The 15,041-nt window shown below is 42.7% G+C and overlaps 1 protein-coding gene across 11 annotated transcripts in view, besides 1 other annotated feature; it reads right to left on the reverse strand.

The window, feature by feature from the left end:
- Positions 1–15,041, reverse strand: part of MTCH2 (mitochondrial carrier 2) — a 38,243-nt gene that overhangs the window by 10,948 nt on the left and 12,254 nt on the right. For 5 of the 11 annotated variants that reach the window (XM_047426701.1, NM_001317232.2, NM_001317233.2 and 2 more), the window contains 5 exons: positions 13,689–13,782; positions 11,816–11,863; positions 10,410–10,477; positions 7,437–7,512; positions 2,053–3,655 (listed from right to left, as the gene is read on the reverse strand). In XM_047426701.1, coding sequence (XP_047282657.1) covers positions 3,569–3,655; positions 7,437–7,512; positions 10,410–10,477; positions 11,816–11,863; positions 13,689–13,782 — 373 coding nt within the window. In that variant the 3' untranslated portion in view covers positions 2,053–3,568. Of the gene's footprint in view, positions 1–2,052; positions 3,656–7,436; positions 7,513–10,409; positions 10,478–11,815; positions 11,864–13,688; positions 13,783–15,041 lie in introns of those variants that run through there. The other 6 variants (XM_047426700.1, XM_011519960.4, XM_011519959.3 and 3 more) reach the window with 3 other exon arrangements.
- Positions 2,289–2,348: a silencer, noted in NCBI's record as "silent region_3336". NCBI's record gives its function as "represses an Ori minimal core promoter by ATAC-STARR-seq in GM12878 lymphoblastoid cells {active_cell/tissue: GM12878}" and the evidence as "EXISTENCE:reporter gene assay evidence [ECO:0000049][PMID:35858748]".

A 15,041-nucleotide genomic window follows, 5' to 3' on the forward strand; every position in this document is an offset into this window, starting at 1 on the left:
TGGCCTGTTTTAAAGGACTAAATATATATTTTTCCCCCACAGATTTTCAAATCAGAGAGAAGTAATGCTCCTGCTGTATAAAACATGAACTTGGTGTTGGATGTAGTTTTTGTCAGTTAGTTTGTACTATCATTACATGCTCTGAAGGAGGGAGAGTTTGAAGGCACAGCCCTCTCACCCAGTTGGGACTCTCAGTGACTTCACAAAGAGATGGCACTAGAACTGAATCTGACAGTACAGAAACATGTCACTGGCAAGAGGGGGAGGACATTTCTAGAATAGGAAATTATAGTTAAGTCAAGGTATGCTGAGGTAACAGAGATGATGGAATATAGGGCTTATGTTGAATGTTTCTTTCATCCTAAGGTTGCTTTTTTTTTTTTTTGAGACAGAGTTTCACTCTTGTTGACCAGGCGGGAGTGCAGTGGGGCAATCTCAGCTCACTGCAACCTCCACCTTCCGATTTCAAGCGATTCTCCTGCCTCAGCCTCCTGAGTAGCTGGGATTACAGGTGCCCGCCACCACGCCTAATTTTTGTATTAGTAGAGACAGGGTTTCACCATGTTGGTCAGGCTGGTCTCAAATTCCTGACCTCATGATCCACCCGCCTCGGCCTCCCAAATTGCTGGGATTACTAAGGTTGCTTTTTTACCCTAGTATTTTTATAATGATCCCCCAAAGTTCCAGGAAACCCATACCTTCTTTATTTTTAAGATGCAGTTTCACTCTTGTTGCCTAGGCTGGAGTGCAATGGCACGATCTCAGCTTACCGCAACCTCCGCTTCCTGGGTTCAAGCGATTCTCATGCCTCAGCCTCCCAAGTAGCTGGGATTACAGGCATGTGCCACCACGCCCAGCTAATTTTCCTCCCTTTATTTCTTTAAAAAATAGAGACAGGGTTTTACCATGTTGCCCGGGCTGGTCTTGAGCTCCTGGACTCAAGTGATCCACTGCCCCCAGCCCACCCCACACTCTTCTTAAGTCAAGGTTTCAATGGTCACCACATACTCTAGAGGAACAGTTTGTGGCAACTTAGCTTGGTACCACAAAGGAAAACCAGTTTCACAAGTGGCTTACTAGAGAACCCCTACTTTTCTTTTTCTTTTTTTTAAGAGACAGAGTCTCACTCTGTCACCCAGTGGCACAATCTTGGGTCACTGCAACCTCCAGCTCCCAGGTTCAAGCGATTCTCCTGCCTCAGCCTCCTGAACTACAGGTGCGTGCCACCATGCCCGACTAATTTTTTTGTATTTTTAGTAGATATATTGGCCAGGCTGGTCTCCAACTCTTGGCCTCAAGTGATCCACCTGCCTCAGCCTCCCAAAGTGTTAGGATTACAGGTATGGGCCACCACAACCAGCCTAAGTTCATATTACTTACTGAGTTCATTATTTCTTGCATGTGTTTCTTTTTTTTTCTTTTTTTTTTTTTTAAGAGATGGGAGTTTCACTCTTGTTGCCCAGGCTGGAGTGCAATGGCGTGATCTCAGTTCATTGCAACCTCCACCTCCTGGGTTTCAAGAGATTCTCCTGCCTCAGCCTCCCGCATAGCTGGGATTACAGGCATGTGCCACCATGCCCGGCTAATTTTGTTATTTTTAGTAGAGACAGGGTTTCTTCATGTTGGTCAGGATGGTCTCGAATTCTCGACCTCAGGTGAACCACCTGCCTCGGCCTCCCAAAGTGCTGTGATTGCAGGCATGAGCCATTGCGCCCGGTCGCATGTGTTTCTTAATGGCACCTACCTGCATTTCCTAGCCCCTGAATATCTTTAGACTTTTATGTTAGTAGCTTATAGTAAGATATTATGGAGGATCATAGGTATAGGACTCTGACTAGACCTCTAGCTTGGATGCAGCAAGACTGAAACAGCTGGACTAGTATTTTGAGCAATCCTAGGCCTTGGAGAAATTTCTCAGCCACCCAACTTGCACAGGAAAAACTGAAGCCTTGGCGTCCTCTGGTGGTAGACTGGTTATCAGAGTCAGACATGCTTCTCAACTAGGAATAGGCAAGCATGAAAGTTCACAGAAGCCACAGGATAAACATGGCACATTTTCCCAGATCATCTTTACTTAAAGATTTTTTGGGAGAAAAAGGTAGGCAGCAAACATTTTTATATTAAAACAAATGCAGATAGTAATATTGAAATAGTATATAAAATTGACATTACTTTTTGAGACAAAGGAAGAGACATCAAAGACATTTTAAGCCGAGCTCCTCATGAGCTTCCTAAACCCCAGGGGAGGGAAGAGACCCCTGCATTCTCGTTCTGTCTAATATTATCAGTGGGGCTGTTTTGACAGAGAAGTCTCAGAAGCAGCGAATTAAGTGCTTACTCATTTGGCAATGTCCCAGTGAGTTATATAAATAAGTGAAACCACAGGCTTTCTCATTTTAGAGCATTTTAACCTGCTTTTTAGAAGGCCTGAGTAAACAGAAGCTTTATGCTTGAGTTGAATTTTATTTTCTCCCAAAGTGATTTTTTTCCTCCTATAAATGTTAACATGCTTAACTGAGGGTATGGCATGTGAGGTGGTCAGTGTCCTAAGACCCATGTCGACTTGGGTTGGCATTACCAGACATGGAGTTACAAATATACTTTCCAAGGCTGTCATCAGAAATGCAAAACTACTCACCTTCGGCAACAATAACAAAAAGGAAACAAAACAAAAAACTGAAGAACAAAAGATTATATATAATTAGAACTGTATGGTGTAATTTAAGCACTGGCAAATACTTGGCTCTTAAAGAAGGGGGTTACTCCTGCAGGATCTGCTTTTCATATTTTATGTGAAAACAAGAACTTCCTTTGAGGAAAAAAGTGCCATTATACTTCCTTTCCAAATCTTGCTTATTTTCTGTAATTGTCTTTTTCTTTGTTGTTGCTGACCCTTTATCTTATTTATTTTTTTTCAGGTAGCCTCTTGAACTAGAGTAGGCTCAGAGGCTCCCTGTAGGTGACATTTTATTACTTTGCAATAACAGACTGAAGGGGCAGATCCTCACACAGACTTTCTAGGGTAATGTAGCAATGTACTGTCCTTTTCTTGAAGTATGAGAGACAAGGTCAATGAAATGTGCTTAGAAGCATAATGGGAGTCAGATTCTGGTGCATGCTACTGACATTTTAGGGTCTACCCAAGAAAAAGTAATTCATAACCTCCCATATAGTTTAATTTAGTGATTTTGTTAAGTTTTACAAAATTATTTCTCATTTTTCTTGGAATTCTACTCTTCATTTTACAAAGCCTTAAATTGAGACTCAAAAATCACATGACAAAGTGCCTGTAGCTTCAGGAAAATACAACTTTTTTTCCCTTCTGGTTAAGTAAAATAAGAATTTGGAGCAAAAATATCCTAATTCAGAATAACTAAAGGGGGAGTATCAGTGGTAAGTTATGTTGTGCTGGAAAAAAGAACAAAAAAGGCAGACACCAAACACCTGAATTTTCCCAAGATTAAATGATTATTAAAAAAGCGCGCCACACTGTATAGAAATCAACATTCTCTCCCATAATTCTGTGCATCTGGGACTACAGAAATGTCACTGTCCCTGCCCCACATCTTCAAATTAACATTTTCAGGTCACAACAATAAGTCTTCCCAAAGGGGACCTTCCGGAAAAATAAGCTATTTCCTCGGCTCATATTCCCCTGGAAAACAAAACAAAACAAAACACAAATAATATCTAGCGAGATGAGATCAGCCAATCCAAATCAGCAGAGAGGTCCAATTGGGAGACGTGACTAAATCTAGGACAAAACTGGGACTATCACTACAGAACAAGGATTAGTATTCTCTGAAAGGCTGAGCTACTATGAACTAACTACAATTTCTCCTTATTAAGTTCTTACTCTGGGCAGACAGAACGCCCAGGTTGGATTCTGGCTTTGCCACTTTCCAGCTGGCTTAGCAAATGAGTCATGTAGAACAGTGCCTAACATTCAGTAAGTGCTAGCTTTCATTTATTTCTTTGTTTTTCTTTTTTGAGATGGAGTCTCGCTCTGTTGCCCAGGCTGTAGTGCAGTGGTGCAATCTCGGCTCACTGCAACCTCTGCCTCCCAGGTTCAAGCGATTCTCCTGCCTCAGCCTCCTAAGTAGCTGGGAAAGGAACGCGCCACCGTGCCTGGCTAATTTTTGTACTTTTAGTGGAGGTGGGGTTTCACCATATTGGCCAGGCTGGTCTCAAACTCCTGACCTCAAGTGATCCGCCTATCTTGGCCTCCCAAAAGTGCAGGGATTACGGGTGTGATCCACCATACCCGGCCTATTTATTTCTTAATGAAATGAAATCATGTTTCTAAGGACTACTTATAAAATCTTATAATCAAAGTAATAACAACCTGGACAACATAGTAAGACCCCATCTCTACAAGAAATTAAAAAATTAAAGGCCGGGTGTGATGGTTCACACCGGTAATCCTAGCACTTTGAGAGACCAAGGCAGGAGGATCACTTGAGCTCAGGAATTTGAGACCAGCCTGCACAACATGGCAAAACCCCGTTGCTACAAAAAATACAAAAAATTGGGCAGACATGGTGGCTCACGCCTGTAATCTCAGCACTTTGGGAGGCTGAGGCAGGCAGATCACCTGAGGTCAGGAGTTCGAGACCAGCCTGACTAACATAGTGAAACCCCATCTCTACTAAAAATACAAAAATTAGCCGGGCGTAGTGGCGGACACCTGTAATCCCAGCTACTCAGGAGGCTGAGGCAGGGGAATTGCTTGAACCTGGGAGGTGAAGGTTGCAGTGAGCCAAGATCGTGCTATTGCACTCTAGCCTGGATGACAGAGCAAGCCTCCGTCTCAAACAAAACAAAACAAAACAAAACAAAAAAACAAACAAACAAAAAACAAAAAACAGGGGTGAGGGGGGAGGGATAGCATTAGGAGATATACCTAATGCTAAATGATGAGTTAATGGGTGCAGCACACCAACACGGCACATGTATACATATGTAACAAACCTGCACGTTGTGCACATGTACCCTAAAACTTAAAAGTATAATAATAATAAAATTAAAAAAAACAAAAAACAAAAAACAAAAAAATGAGCTGGGCTTAGCGGTATGTGCCTGTAGTCCAAGCTACCTGGGATGCTGAGGTGGGACGATCACTTGAGCCAGAGACCTCAGCCAGGAGGCAGAGGTTGCAGTGAGCCAATACCATGCCACTGCACTCCAGCCTGGGTGACAGAGTGAGACCCTGTCTCAAAAACAAAACAAAACAAAAAAATTAACAGGACATGGTGGAAGCATGCCTGTAGTCCTAGCTACTTGGGAGGCTGAGGTAGGAGGATTGCTTTACCCCAGGAGTTTGAGGCTACAGTGAGTTGTGATGCCACCACTGCACACCAGCCTGGGCGACAGAGCTTGTCTCTAAAAAATAAAGAACCAAATAAGTAAATAAAAATAAAGTAATAATGTTCTGAGTGCAACTGAGTACACTCTGGAGTATAAATCTGAGCCTTCCCAAATATAGGCCATGTGACCTTGCATTATGTAATTGGCACTAAACTGCTCTAAGCCCCAGTTTCTTCATATGTGAAATGGGTGATTAAGAATGACACCTATTCTCACACAGCTGTTTTGAGGATTACATGAGCTGATGTAAGAAAAGCTCTTAGCATGATATCTGGTATACAGTAAATGCCCAATCAAGATTTGCTGTTGTTGTAAGCACCTACAGGAACAACTGTTCCTACTTTAAGTGTGTTTGACACCGTAATCCATTCTCTGTCTGCTTTCTTCCTATAACAGAGTGTTAGTCAGAAAAGGAAGGAAGGAAAGGCCATTTTTTCCATTTAAACAGGGACCACACTGTACAATAGAGAGTAAAACTCAGAATGAAATGCACAATGTTCATAGTAGGTCTGTACTGAAATCATTCAAGTATTCAAGCTTGGATTCACAGAGGGGCTTTGTGGGCACACTAAGCAAGAGCAACTACAAACAACACTTAGGCCTTTTCATTCAGATTTCAAAGGCCTTTCTCTTATATATCACTAGTGCTATAAAATAATGCAACAAAGAGCTTCTTTATACGCTTTCTTCTACAATCTTTTAAGAAGTGGACCCCCCTTCAAAAACAGCTTTAAACTGATAATCATTTTAAGTGATCCTGTGCTAAATTTAGCCCACAGCCAATCCATTTGTTGTTGTTATTGTCTTTTTTTTTTTTTTGAGATGGAGTCTTGCTCTGTCACCCAGGCTGGAGTGCAGTGGCACAATCTTGGCTCACTGCAACCTCCACCTCCTGGGTTAAAGCAATTCTCTTCCCTCAGCCTCCCCAGTAGCTGGGACTACAGGCACACGCTGCTACGCCCAGCTAATTTCTTTTGTATTTTAGTAGAGATGGGGTTTCACTGCGTTGCCCAGGCTGGTCTCAAACTCCTGACCTCAAGTGATCTGCCCGCCTTGGCCTCCCAAAGTGCTGGGATTACACCTGTGAGCCACTGCACCTGGCCTGTAGTTTTTTGTTAAGAGACACGTCTGGCTGTGTTGCCCAGGCTGGCCTCAAACTCCTGGACTCATGTGATCCTCCTGGCTCAGCCTCCTGAGTAACTGGAACTATAGGCATGAGCCACCATACCTAGCCGTTATTTTATTTTCCTTTTTTGGATACAGGGTCTCACTCTGTCACCCAGGCTGAAGTGCGGTGATGCAATCTTGGCTCACTGCAGCCTTGACCTCCTGGGCTCAGGTGATCCTCCCACCTTAGCCTCCTGGGTAGCTGGGACTATAGGTGCTATGCCTGGCTAAGTTTTTGTATTTTCTGTAGCAATGAGGTCTCATCATGTTGCCTCAACTGGTCTCAAACTCCTAGGCTCAAGCAATTTGCCCACCTAGACCTCTCGAAGTGCTAGAATTATAAGCGTGAGCCACTGCACCCAGCCCATTATTTTATTTTCCAATAAAGCTTTGCCTAGATAATAAATAATTTTTTGTTGCAGATTATACACCTCATAGTAATAACAAACCCTAAATTGGTATCTAGGCAAAATCATCCACTAACAAGACTCTAGAAGTATAAGACCAGCTCTGTCAATACCACTGTGACAAATAAGTGGTTATGAAAGGTGAGTTTGGGGGAAAAAAAGAGTCTAAAATCAAGGCCATCATTTTACCAGGATAATAATCTACCTGGATCGTATTTGTAAGTTGAATGTGGGCACTCAAATGGCTTCTAGGTCTCATCTAGGGATTCTTTCTTCTTCATTACTCCTGCTCATGATTTCTAAACATCACATTTTACTATTATGCCAAAGTGAAAACACAGAACACTGTAAAGTGTACATTAACTGGCAGACTAGACTAACTCTAGCTAAAGTGAGCTACAAGAGTTAACTTGGGATTCCAGAGACAATATTTAAGAAAACAAATAAATAAAAATAAAACAAAATAAAATGAGAGAGACAGAGAAAAAGAAATACCTCTTTTTGTAGCATGCACCAACAGTCTATCCAAGACGTATATATTGGGGAGTAAGGAGGGCATCCACCAGCAAGACTAAAATAGAAAAAAACATGGAGCTATTCATGTTAATATTAACCATTCTCTTGAGACGTTGATAAACCTTGTCAAAATATTCTGCTGCACAGAAGATTCCCTGAGAGATCATTTTAGTTCAATGAAACAAATCATATTGAAGCAGGGGAACGATCAAGCATCCAAAAGAGAATTCCTCCCCTATATTTAGGTTTCAAATAAATAAATAAACATAAACTTCAACCTTAATTTCTAAAACATTTAGACTTTTCCTTTGTGGACAAATGAAACTCCAGAACACAGCATTTACATGATTAAAGAGCAGGGAAAGGTGGCCGGGCACGGTGGCTCACACCTGTAATTCCAGCACTTTGGGAGGCCAAGGCAGGTGGATCATTTGAGGTCAGGAGTTCAAGACCAGCCTGGCCAACATGGTGAAACCCCATCTCTACTGAAAATACAAAAACATGAGCTGGCATGGTGGCGCATGCCTGTAATCCCGGCTACTTGGGAGGCTAAGGCATGTGAATTGCTTCAACCCAGGAGGCGGAAGTTGCAGTGAGCCAAGATTGCACTACTGCACTCCAGCCTGGGTGACAGAGTAAGAACCAGTCTTTTTTTAAAAAAAAAAAAAAAAAAAAAGAGCAGGGAAAGGAGATTTAAAAACTAACTGGTGTTCACAAAGATACTAAACATGAAAACGGATATAAACAGTAGATATATATGTTCCTACTTAGGTATAATCACTTCATCTTGAAAAAACTGTAAATAATAATAATACATTTAATTCATCCTTCAAGTTTACACTGTGCTAAAAAATGGCAGTTGCTCTACGTATCAGAAAACATCACAGCTTGCCAGGAGTAACATGAAACAAACAAAACCAGAAAACAAACAATGTAAAATGTTCAAAACTCCACATAGCTATCTGATCTTATTTGAAAACAGTAACATGTTTAATGATATGTCAGGTACCATATGGGAAAAGAATTTTGAATTAAACAAAAAAGGCAAGGCTGGGTGCAGTGGCTCACGCCTGTAATCCCAGCACTTTAGGAGGTCGAGGAGGGTGGACCACTTGAGGTCAGGAGTTCGAGACCAGCCTGGCCAACATGGTGAAACACTGTCTCTACTAGAAATACAGAAATTAGCCGGGGGTGGTGGCAAGTGCCTATAATCCCAGCTACTCTGGAGGCTGAGGCAGGAGAAGTACTTGAACCCAGGAGGTGGAGGATGCAGTGAACCAAGATCGCGCCACCACAATCCAGCCTGAGCAACAGAGCAAGACTCTGTCTCAACAATAACAACAACAAAAAAATACAAAAAATTAGCCAGGCATGCTGGTGGGCACCTGTAATCCCAGCTACTCAGGAGGCTGAGGCAGGAGAATTGCTTGAACCTGGGAGGTGGAGGTTGCAGTGAGTCGAGATTGCACCACTGCACTATAGCCTGGGCAACAGAGTGAGACTCCATCTCAAAAAAAAAAAAAAAAAGGCAAAATTTTGCCCAACTCAGTAGAGTCACTTGGCATCTAGAATTTGGAAATCAATGGAGTCTACCACTATACCAAAACCTGCCCTTCTAACCAATACAGAGAAAAGGTCATCAAACTTTCCATAGACTAAATATCCTAATTCTGGTTCTTTAAAACTCACTTTCTCCATAAAGCCCCTAGGAAAAACAGGTATGGATTGTCATTTAATCCCTGATATACCTTTTGTCACTTTCATAGAAAAGATAAAGATTTAAAATAACAATATGTTGGCTGGGCATGGTGGCTCACCCCTGTAATCCCAGCACTTTAAGAGGCTGAGGAAGGAGAATCACTTGAGCCTAGAAATTTAAGAACAGCCTGGGCAACAAAGTGAGACCCTGTGTCTTCACAAAAAATAATTAGCCAGGCATGGTGGCATGCACATGTACTCCCAACTACTTGGGAAGCTGAGATGGGAGGATCCCTTGAGCTCAGGAGTTCAAGGCTGCAGTGAGCTAGGACTTCACCACCACATTGCAGCCCTATCTCTAAAAAAATTAAAAATAAATAAAAATAGGCCAGGTGCAGTGGCTCACGCCTTTAATTCCAGCGCTTTGGAAGTCCGAGGTAGGCAGATCACCGGAGGTCAGGAGTTCAGGACCAGTCTGGCCAACATAGCAAGACCCCATCTCTACTAAAAATGCAAAAATTAGCCCAGCATGGTGGCACATGCCTGTAATCACAACTTCTTGGGAAGCTGAGGCATGAGAACTGCTTGAATCCAGGAGGTGTCTGTTGCAATGGAGCGAGACTGCACCACTGCACTCCAGCCTGGGTGACAGAGTGAGATTCTGTCTCAAAAAACAAAAACAAAAACAAAAACAAAAACTATAAATAATAATAGTAATTGGCCTGGCATGGTGGTTCATGCCTGTAATCCCAGCACTTTGGGAGACTGAGGCGGGTGGATCACTTGAGGTCAGGAGTTCGAGACCAGCCTGGCCAACATGGTGAAACCCTGTCTCTACCAAAAATACAAAAATATTAGCTGGGCATGGTGGCGAATGCCTGTAATCCCAGCTACTCAGGAGGCTGAGGCGGGACAATCACTTGAATCCAGGAGGTGGAGGTCGCAGTGAGCCGAGATCATGCTACTGCACTCCAGCCTGGGCAACATAGCAAGACTCCATCTCAAAAAAAAAAAAAATAATAATAATAATTAATAAATAAATACAAATTGAGGCTGCTGCTGCATAGGGCATACAAAGAAAAAAATTAGGAATCTTCTAATGGTATCAATTATACTTTTCCTCCCCCCCTTTTTAAAAAAATACCAATCAGAGATTGATACTGATCATTCATCTTTCCTAAATTTCTACAAGGCTGCTCCGCCTGTCAGCATACAGTCAACCACCTACTAGAATAAGAAATACAAAGTGCTTACCCACAGTTGTTGACAGCCATAAGATTGGAGACAAGCACAAAGGGATAGGTCAACATACTCGCAAAAAACTGTAAAATGGAAACAAGGCAGCTGTTATTAGATCATTCCTAGTCTTTATTCTCCTTTCCTTTACCTTAAAGGCCTAGTGCCACTGCGGTGAGACACTCTAACACTTGTCTCGCTTCATCGGTACCCTGGAAAGACAACAGTTACAGTTTTGAGCCTGGAGATGCTTCTTCCTCTTAGCACACCACTGCATCCAACATTTTAACAAAAGGCCAGAAGAATTCTCTGATCCTGAGTAGCTGGGACTATAGGCGCACGCCACCATACCCAACTACTTTTTTTTTTTTTGAGATGGAGTTTCCCTCTTGTTGCCCACGCTGGAGTGTAATGGTGTGATATTGGCTCACTGCAACCTCCGCCTCCTGGGTTCAAGCGATTCTCCTGCAACCTCCGCCTCCTGGGGTTCAAGCGATTCTCCTGCCTCAGCCTCCCAAGTAGCTGGGATTACGGGCATGCACCACCATGCCCAGCTAATTTTGTAGTTTTAGTAGAGATGAGATTTCTCCAAATTGGCCAAGGTGGTGTCGAACTCCCGACCTCAGCCTCCCAAAGTGCTGGGATTACAGGAGTGAGCCACCGCGCCTGCCCCAGCTTTTTTTTTTTTTTTTCACTTTTGTAGAAATGGGGTCTTGCTCAGTTGCCCAGGCTGGTCTTGAACTCTTGGCCTCAAGTGATCCTCCTTCCTTGGCCTCCCGAAGTGCTGGGTTTACAGGTGTGAGCCACCATGTCTGGCCTGAACAATATTATTTCGGAGGAAAGGCACGCCCCTTATGAAAGCTAAGCAGTACCAAACCATGCAGGATGTGAGGCAGGGGTTCTGCCTTACTCTCTTTATTTTCACATGTGAGTCTGTGGTTCCTTCGAAAACTGAGTTATTCTCTCTTTTTTTTTGAGATGGAGTCTCACTCTGTCGCCCAGGCCGAAGTGCAGTGGCGTGATCTCAGCTCACTGCAGCCTCCATCTCCCAGGTTCCAGTGATTCTCCTGCCTCAGCCTCCCGAGTAGCTGGGATTACAGGCATGCACCACCACGCTCGGCTAATGTTAGTATTTTTAGTAGAGACGGGGATTCATCATGTTGGCCAGGCTGGTCTCGAACTCCTGACCTCAGGTGATCCGCCCACCTCACCTTCCCAAAGTGCTAGGATTACAGGCATGAGCCATGGCGCCTGGCCGAAAACTGAGTTATTCTTACCTTTGACAAATATAACAAATTTCAGGGAGATGTCCCAGTGAGACATCTGGTTATCTTAAAGCAGTGATGACACAAGCCAGATTTAAAAGGAAAACAAAACAAAACACAACTATTCCTAGAAGGTTAAAAGGATTTTAAAAAACTCACTCCTGTGACAGCTTGAGAATAACTCTTCATTTCATTCATGGTAGAAACCTAAAATAGGAAAAGAGCCTTAAATTAATTACCTACAACACTACAACACATCAATATATTCTTTTTTCCTTTTCTTTTCTTTTCTTTTTTTCTTTCAGACAGTGCCTCACTCTGTCACCCAGGCTGAAGTGCAGTGACCTCCTGAAGCACACATCACCACGCCCAGCTAATTTCAAAATATTTTTTAAGAAATGGTGTCTTTTTTTTTTTGAGATAAGGGTCTCCCTATGTTTGCCCAGGCTGGTCTCAAACTCCTGGGCTCAAGAGATCCTCCCACCTTGACCTCTCAAAGTGCTGAGATTATAGGCATAAGCCACTATGCCCAGCTAAGAGACGGTGTCTTGCTATGTTGCCTAGGCTGGTTTCAAACTCCTGGCTTCAGGCAAACCTCCCACCTAAGCCTCCTGAGTCGCTGGAATCATAGGCTGGAGCTACTGTGCCTTGCTCTCCATGTCAATATAGTCTATCTCTAAATTATCAGTTTGACAGCTTGAAAATTAATTTTTTTTTTTTTTTTGAGACAGGATCTCATCTCTCTTGTTGCCCAGGCTGGAGGTGCAGTGAGCTGTGATCTCACAACCTTGACCTCCTGGGCTCAAGTGACCCTCCCACTTCAGCCTCCCAAAGTGTTGGGATTACAGCATGAGCCACCACACCTGTCTAAAACTAATTTTGAGGACAAAACCATAAAACACTGATTATTAGAATAATAAGGCAGTGGTCAAAATGATCAACCTGATTCAATATTAACAGACAAATTCATATTATACTAAAATGCTTTAGGGACGAATGTAAAAGGATTTCAAATACTAAAGAAAATGAGATTGATAACCTTTTCACACATCCTAGAAATACAGTCCCTGGAAAACCACATTTATAGTATATCTAAGGGACAATTCACTACCTTTGTTTTACACAGCTAGCTTTCTACCAGATGCGTTGAAGAAAATCCCTCTCTGTACTCAAGAGGTTTACAACATGGATTTAGTCATATACCCTGTGATGTGTTCAATTTATCATCATGCTATGGAGCTGCCGACATACAAGAGGCCCCACAACTGCTGAGATAAGAAAGACAACTTCTAGATAAGACTGATTCTCAAAAGGCTGAGGTTTCTAGAAAGCCCAATACAGGCACCCTCTTAAGTCCAGATTAGATGAAAAGCCCCCGATACACCATAAAGATGTCCTGCTTTCCCAGGTTCTCTCAAGTTAAGTATCAGTAAAGAAGTGATCTCTTTAAAGCCCTGAAGTAACACAGGGCTAAGTCTCTTGGGTATACTCTGTCACATCTTACGGACTTTTAACGTGTATCGTTCTACAGTAAACAGTATCGTTCTACAGTGAACAGTATGCTCATTTCATTAGCATTTGAAAATTTGACTGATAATTTTTAGCTATATAATTGTTCAGTCTGGCATGTAGCAAACTGTCATCTTGTTTATTTATTTATTATTTATTTTTTGAAATGGAGTCTCCTTCTGTCACCCAGGCTGGAATGCAGTGGCGCGATCTTGGCTCACTGCAACCTCCGCCTCCTGGGTTCAAGCAATTCCCCTGCCTCAGCCTCCCAAGTAGCTGGGACTATAGGCACGCACCACCACGCCCAGCTAATTTTTTCTGTATTTTTAGTAGAGACGAGGTTTCACCATGTTGGCCAGGCTGGTCTCGAACTCTTGATCTCAGGTGATCCGCCCACATTGGCCTCCCAAAGTGCTGGGATTACAGGTGTGAGCCACCTCGCCCGGCCCATCTTACTTTAAAAGCTAATCTAGCTGCCAGATTAAAGCCAAGGTGAGCACATCTCACGAAGGTCACAACCTACCCCACTGTCCAGTGCATAGGTATTGACGAGGTAGGCCAGTGAGTTACACAGCCACAAAGAAAGGATGTCACCTAGAAGGCGAGGAACAAGACCCCTACATGAAGAAACAATAAAAATAAGAACCAAAAAATGTGATCAGTAACATGACAGGCTCTTCAGTACAAATGTTTGTCAAATAATTAGAGGTCACAAAACATTCTAGGGAAGTAAAAAAGGAATCAAACACCAGAATCCAGCCCGCATACCTAGTTCATTCTCGTTAACACAGCTGTACTTGAAGCTGATCTCCAGTGACTTTTGTTCCTATGTTTAAAATGCAGGTCGGCTATACCCTCAGTGGCTCACCTTACTATTCATAACTGTAAGCAGGGAGGCAAAAGATTTGCGAGGTGCTTTGCAGAAGAGACTTAAATATTGTTTTGCTTTGACTAGCTTAAAAAAATGATTTTGCTAAGCTATCTGATATTCATATTTGGCAGAGCAAAAGACGAGAAAAATTACAAAGCAAGAATGGTCCCAAGTACAGATACAGATGAGAGGCATCAAAAACCACATTTCTAGGGTCTGGGTGACCTAGGTGAGGCAGCATGGAATAGTGGGAAGAGCATTTCCCCACGGATTGAAGACCAGCTTCAAATGCCAGCTCCAGCACTCAGCAGCGATGTGACAGGCAGCAGATGAAACTCTCAGAGCATCAATGTTTTTTAATCTCTAAAGTGATACTAATTATAGCTGTCCTGCCTATCTCACAGGGTATTTATGATATTCAAAATCCGTATGGGGAGATACTCTGAAAATTAAAAAAAAAAAAACAAAAAACACCATTTCGGTAATGATGCAAAATTTTTCCTCATAGAAGAATGAGGGTAGTAGTCTAAGTTCTTCCAAAGTAAATTCAAGCCTTGCAAAAACTTACTCTTTTACGGTAAGGAAAATACAAGTTAAGATGATTTCCCCATTTTTCAACATTTAATTTTTCTCATTTTATTATCTATATAGAATTGGGAGTTTACTACAAGGGTAGAAACTTGGAATTAAGTCCTTTGTTAAAAAAAGAAATTCCTTATTTATTTATTAATTATTATTATTTTTTTGAGACGGAGTCTCACTCTGTCACCCGGGCTGGAGTACAGTGGTGCAATCTCAGCTCACTGCAACTTCCACCTCCCGGGTTCATGCAATTCTCCTGCCTCAGCCTCCCGAGTAGCTGGGATTACAGGCACACACCACCACACCTAGAGGTGGGGTTTTACCATGTTGGCCAGGCTGGTCTTGAACTCCTGACCTCAGGTGATCCAACCGCCTTGGCCTCTCAAAGTGCTGGGATTACAGGCGTGAGCCACCACGCCCGGC

This window comes from Homo sapiens, chromosome 11 (assembly GCF_000001405.40).
Source record: "Homo sapiens chromosome 11, GRCh38.p14 Primary Assembly".
Classification (NCBI taxonomy): domain Eukaryota; kingdom Metazoa; phylum Chordata; class Mammalia; order Primates; family Hominidae; genus Homo; species Homo sapiens.